The 6,000-nt window shown below is 46.6% G+C and overlaps 3 annotated features.

Moving 5' to 3' along the window:
• Positions 424-923: an enhancer, noted in NCBI's record as "H3K27ac hESC enhancer chr16:13700037-13700536 (GRCh37/hg19 assembly coordinates)". NCBI's record gives its function as "activates a minimal SCP1, AML or CMV promoter by ChIP-STARR-seq in primed H9 embryonic stem cells {active_cell/tissue: H9 hESC(primed)}" and the evidence as "EXISTENCE:reporter gene assay evidence [ECO:0000049][PMID:30033119]".
• Positions 2,322-2,823: an enhancer, noted in NCBI's record as "H3K4me1 hESC enhancer chr16:13701935-13702436 (GRCh37/hg19 assembly coordinates)". NCBI's record gives its function as "activates a minimal SCP1, AML or CMV promoter by ChIP-STARR-seq in primed H9 embryonic stem cells {active_cell/tissue: H9 hESC(primed)}" and the evidence as "EXISTENCE:reporter gene assay evidence [ECO:0000049][PMID:30033119]".
• Positions 2,824-3,323: an enhancer, noted in NCBI's record as "H3K4me1 hESC enhancer chr16:13702437-13702936 (GRCh37/hg19 assembly coordinates)". NCBI's record gives its function as "activates a minimal SCP1, AML or CMV promoter by ChIP-STARR-seq in primed H9 embryonic stem cells {active_cell/tissue: H9 hESC(primed)}" and the evidence as "EXISTENCE:reporter gene assay evidence [ECO:0000049][PMID:30033119]".

A 6,000-nucleotide genomic window follows, 5' to 3' on the forward strand; every position in this document is an offset into this window, starting at 1 on the left:
AATTCCAATTTTCAACTGGCTTCATTGTAATGTGTCTTTCCTTGTATCTAGGACCAATTAAATAATTTGCAGTAAATGGAAACGTGGGGGCTCCTTGTTAAATATTTATTAAGAATTTGAAAATGGAGACAGCAGAGTGTTAAACTGTTAAAGGTAGTTAGGCATGAGAGCAGGACAGGAGAGGGCTCTCCGACCCTCCATTGGAAATGTCAGGTGTTGGTTCGGCAATTACCACATTGCCTCTCTAAAAATAATTCAGCAGCGCGAGGAAGACGCCATTTCCTGATGGTCCACACCTGTTAACATTAAAATTTTAATTGAACGCAGGCGCCAAGGAGAAGCAATTTCCTGGGCATGCGTGTTAACAGACAAAAATGGCCTTTGGGAGGCCAAGGCGGGAGGATCACTTGAGTTCGGGAGTTCGAAACTAGCCTTACCAACATGGTGAAACCCCCGTCTCTACCAAAAACACAAAAAATTAGCCTGGCGTGGTGGCGCACGCCTGTAATCCCAGCTACTAGGGGGGCTGAGGCAGGAGAATTGCTTGAACTCGGGAGGCAGAGGTTGCAGTAAGCTGAGATCCCGTCACTGTAATCCAGCCTGGGCCACAGAGAGAGGCTCCGTCCGAAAAAAAAAAAAAAAAAAAAGACGAAAATGGCGAAGTATGATCTCCCATACACTCCACCAGAGAAGGGAAGAAAGCCTCAGATGGGCATGCATATAACTCCCTAAACACACTGCGCATGTTCAATTCCAAAGGATACAGAAAGCACTGCGCATGTGGAAGCCCCACGCTAAGGGAGGAATTACAGGAAAGAGGCAAGCTTATAAAAAAAAAAGTCCTAGGATCCGCCGACGTGGTGGCTCAACGCCTGTAATCCCAGCACTCTGGGAGGCTTAGGCAGGCGGATCACGAGGTCAGGAGTTCAAACCAGCCTGGCCAACATGATGAAACCCCGTCTCTACTAAAAATACAAAAATTAACTGTGTGGTGGCGCGTGACTGTAATCCCAGCTACTGGGGAGGCTGAGGCAGGAGAATTGCTTGAACCCGAGAGCCGGAGGTTGCAGGGAGCCGAGATACCGCCACTATACTCCAGCCTGGGATACAGAATGAGACCCCGTCTAAAAAAGAGCAATAAGAAAGTCGAAGTATGATCTCCCATACACTCCACTGGAAAAGGGAAGAATGCCTCATACGGGCATGCCTGTAACTCCCTAAACACACTGCGCATGCTCCGTTCCAAAGGAGTATAGAAAGCACTGCGCATGCGGAAAGCCCCCGTTAAGGGAGGAACTACCGCAAAGAGGCGAACTTAATATAAGTCCTAGGATCGGTTGGGCGCGGTGGTTCACGCCTGTATTCCCAATACGCCTGTATTCCGAGGCGGGCGGATCACGAGGCAGGCGGAACACGAGATCAGGATTTCAAGACCAGCCTGGCCAATATGATGAAACCCCGTCTCTACTAAAAATACAAAAAATTAGCCTGGCGTCGTGGCGCGCGCCTGTAATCCCAGCTACTGGGGAGGCTGAGGCAGAATTGCTTGAACCCGGGAGGCAGAGGTTGCAGTGAGCTGACATCGCCCCATCCCGCCACTGGACTTCAGCCTGGACCACAGAGCAAGACCCCGTCTCAGAAAACATAGAGACAAAAACTGCTTAGTATGATCTCCCATATACTCCACCGGAAAAGGAAGAAAGCCTCAGTTGGGCATGCGTATAACTCCCTAAACACACTGCGCATGTTCAATTCTAAACCGTACAGAAAGCATTGCGCATGCGGAAAGCTCGCCCAAAGGGAGGAATTATGGGAAAGAGGCGAGTTTACAAAAGTCCTAGGATCCGCGGGGCGTGGTGGCTCACGCCTGTAATCCTGGCTGTTTGGGAGGCTGAGGCGGGCAGATCACCTGAGTTCAAGACCAGCCTGGCCAACATGATGAAACCCCGTCTCTACTAAAACTACAAAAATTAGCTGGCTGTAGTGGCGCGCGCTTGAGGCAGGAGAACTGCTTGAACCCGGGAGGCGGAGGTTGCAGTGAGCTGAGATTCCGCCACTGTACTCCAGACTGGGCCAGAGCAAGACTCCGTCAAAAAAAAAAAAAAAAGACAAATACAGCACCGGAAAAGGAAAGAAAGCCTCAGATGGGCATGCGTATAACTCCCAAAACACAACTGCGCATGTTCAATCCCAAAGCGTACAGAAAGCACTGCGCATGCGGAAAGCCCACTTTAAGGGAGGAATTACAGGAAAGAAGGAAGCCTATAAAACTCCTAAAATCGGCCGAGTGCAGTGGCTCACGCCTGTAATCCCAGCACTTTGAGAGGCCGAGGCGGGCTGTTCACGAGGTCAGGAGTTCAAGACCAGCCTGGCCAACATGATGAAAACCCGTCTCTACTAAAAATACAAAAATTAGCTGAGTGTGGTAGTGCGCGCTACCTGTAATCCTAGCTACTGGGGAGGCCGAGGCAGGAGAATTGCTTGAACCCGGGAGGCGGAAGTTGCAGTGAGCTAACATTCCGCCACTTTCCTCCAGCCTGGGCCACAGAGCGAGACTCCGTCTCAAAAAAAAAAAAAAAAAGAAAAAGAAAAAGAAAAACGGCGAAGTACGATCTCCCATACACTCCACTGGAAAAGGGAAGAAAGTCTCAGATGGGCATGCGTATAACTCCCAAAACACATTGCGCATGTTCAATTCCAAAGGGTACAGAAAGCACTGCGCATTCGGAAATCCCAAGGGAGGAATTATAGGAAAGACATGAGCTTGTAAAAGTGCTAGGATCAGCCAGGCGCGCTGGCTCTGGCCTGTAATCCCAGCTAGCACTTTGGGAGGTCGAACCCGGGAGGCGGAGGTTGCAGTGAGCCAAGATCACGCCATTGCACTCCAGCCTGGGCAACAAGAGCAAAACTCCATCTCAAAAAAAAAAGTAAAGAAAAGAAAAGAAAACAACCAAGGCTCAAAGAAGTAATTCTGGGAAGTAGGAGGCCAACATAATAGAGGTGTGTAGTGTAGGAGCTCAGAAACAGTGCCCCAAAAGGAAGGCCTTAGAAGCACAAATTTCTCTTTGCTCTTCTCCTGCCCTCCTGTCCGTCTTTCCCATTCTCCTCCGAGTCTATCCATAAAGAGGGAATTCCTCTTCCCCAAGGCAAGTCATAGAAACCAGAACCCCTTTTCTTCAAAGCCAGTCATAAAACATAAAAATATTACTCGAATTTTTCCTTTGTTTATAAGAACTGGACGTGAATAAATTACCTGACATTCCTTGTTTGACTGTGGGTCTTAAGATCCCCATTTCAGAGAGAGCCCTGCCCTGCACCTAGAAGGAAGAAATGCATATTCATAGAGGCTGAGAAGAATCTAGACAGAGAGGCCTTGCTGGATTCCCCCACCCAGTCTACGAACATTTGATCATGGTCTTTTTATTTAATCATATTTTTAAATAGCTGTCTATCCTTTGCAGAACCTAAGCATAAAAGTGGGCAACTTCAGGCCAGACGTAGTGACTCATGCCTGTAATCCCAGCACTTTGGAAGGCCGAGGCGGGCAGATCATGAGGTCAGGAGTTCGAGACCACGCTGGCTAATATGATGAAACCCCGTCTCTACTAAAAAAATACAAAAATTAGCCAGGCATGGTGGTGCATGCCTGTAGTCCCAGCTACTCGGGAGGGTGAGGCAAAAGAATCGCTTGAACCTGGGAGGCGGAGGTTGCAGTGAGCCGAGATCGTGGCACTGCACTCCAGCCTGGGTGACAGAGAGAGACTCCATCTCAAACAAACAAACAAACAAACGAACAAAAAGTGGATAATTTCCCCCGTATCTTTGGGTCTTCATTCTGAAGGCTCCCATGTCACGTGAAACTATGATAAAGTAAACTTGTGCTTTTGTCTCGTTAATCTGCCTTTTATTCATGATTTTCAGCAAACCTTCAGAGGGTGAAGGGGAAGTTTTCTCTTGGCACTGATAGTACCAAGTATGTGAACAGTGTATGCTGGACACAGGTGAGCAGGAGCAGATGGGGGAAGGGTAGACGTAGCCTGGGAGCAGGGAAGCTTCAGAAGGCAGCTGGCATTTGAGCCAGGCTTCAAGCTGGTTGAAATTTTAACAGAGGGAGACTTGTGAGAAAGAGATAAGCCCTCCCCAGACAGAGGGATGAGCAATACGAAAGACATAAAATTCAAATTGCGTTTCAAAAAATTGCAGGCAGTGGGACAATGGATGCAAGATAGGGTGTGTGTGTGTGTGTGTGTGTGTGTGTGTGTGTGTGTGTGTGTAGAAGGTACAAAAGGAAAATAAATCTTGTGGCCCCCAAATCACTAAACCAAGGGAAAAATCAGGCTGGAAACTGTCAGGCAAACCTGCCTCCCATTTTATTCCTAAATAAGATAGCTAGAAATATAAAAGAGCTACATACCTCCCTTACAATTTGTCCACAAGGAAATTCCTTGTGGGCCTCAAGATCTTTATCCTAAGACATTTCTGTTGAATTTCACCCTGGCAATGTAAATTGATGGCTGATCTTCCCAGGTGCAGGACAGAAAGTCATGCCTCTGCACACCTAAGACAAATGCATATCTGATTGCTTCCTCTGCCCTGTTGTTTATGTAAAAATGCAGATTCACTGACTAAATTGCATATTCAGTGAAAGGCTGATCAAGGACTTAAAAGAATGCATCCGTTTGTCTCTTATCTACCTATGACTTGGAAGCCCCTCCCCTTCCAATTGTCCCGCCTATCTTATCGGACCAAACCACTGTACACCTTGCACATATCGATTGACGTCTCACGTCTCCCTAAAATGTATAAAAGCAAGCTGTACCCTGACCACCTTGGGCACATGTTGTCAGGACATCCTGAGGCTGTGTCACAGTGTATCCCTAACCTCAGCAAAATAAACTTTCTGAATTGATTGAGACCTGCCTCAGATATTTTAGTTTCACAAAGGTAAGACTGCAGTGGAAAAAAACAGATACCAGGGGTCCAGATGGACTGGGGCTAAAATCTCAGCTCAACTCAGCCTTCTCTTGGCTGGGCTCCACATTGCCTTGTTGATCAGCTGTCTCTTTTCTGTAAGACTACCTCCTCTGTTCTCTGTTCTCTGAGATTCCTTCACCCTCAGGCCCTCCCATATTTTGCAGAGCAATCTAGACTTGGGCCTATCTTCATATTCATAAACACAAAAAATATCTCTGTTAAGGCCAACTCTCAAATATCCTGAGCTTCAGCCTCCAAGCAGCACAGAATTTCAAGTAGAAACTTTCACACTTCAAACTCTTCCTTTTCTCTTCTACACCAGCCTGTCTACATGAAAGAGATTTCTTTTACCCTTCCTATAACATAAATAGTCTCCCCATCCCCCTTCCCCAGGAGGCAAATTGTCAATAGTCTGGGTTTGTAGGAATCAGAGTCTTTTTTTTTTCAATATGACGACCCAAGACTATTTTGCTGAATCCTTATTGCACCCCTGTGAGCTAGGTATTGTTATCCTGTTTCTTAGAAGAGAAAACTGAAGCCCATGATCACATAGTACGTAAATGACAGGGCTGGAACTAAAACTCAGGGCTGCCTGAGTCCAAGAATAAAATAGTTCTTGCCCAACAGCAATGAGAAATAGAAGAGTGACATGTCTATCTCATAATCAAGAGATTAAAGGCTCATATTTTAAGACAATTGAAGGTTCAAAAACACTGCAGAGAATGGATTATTCCCCTCTCCTTCCACTGTAGCCATATTAAATATTAATTCCTTTTGTCTTTGCAGATACAGAAGTTGACTAAGACACACATCATGAAAAATGCAAGGTGAAGTTTCACTTTAATTTCAGCTTTTGTATTGGAAATGCATTTGGATGACTTTCTTCCCTACTGCTGGGATTGAACATTTGATCTTCTTTGCCCTTGGTCGGTGTCGACCAGAAGAACGTGGGTGTCTGCGAGGTAGCAAGAGATCAAGGACAAGTTCCCATCAGGAGCCTGACAATCCCAGCTCCAGGTGTCAACA

Source organism: Homo sapiens, chromosome 16 (assembly GCF_000001405.40).
Source record: "Homo sapiens chromosome 16, GRCh38.p14 Primary Assembly".
NCBI classification, from domain to species: Eukaryota; Metazoa; Chordata; class Mammalia; order Primates; family Hominidae; genus Homo; species Homo sapiens.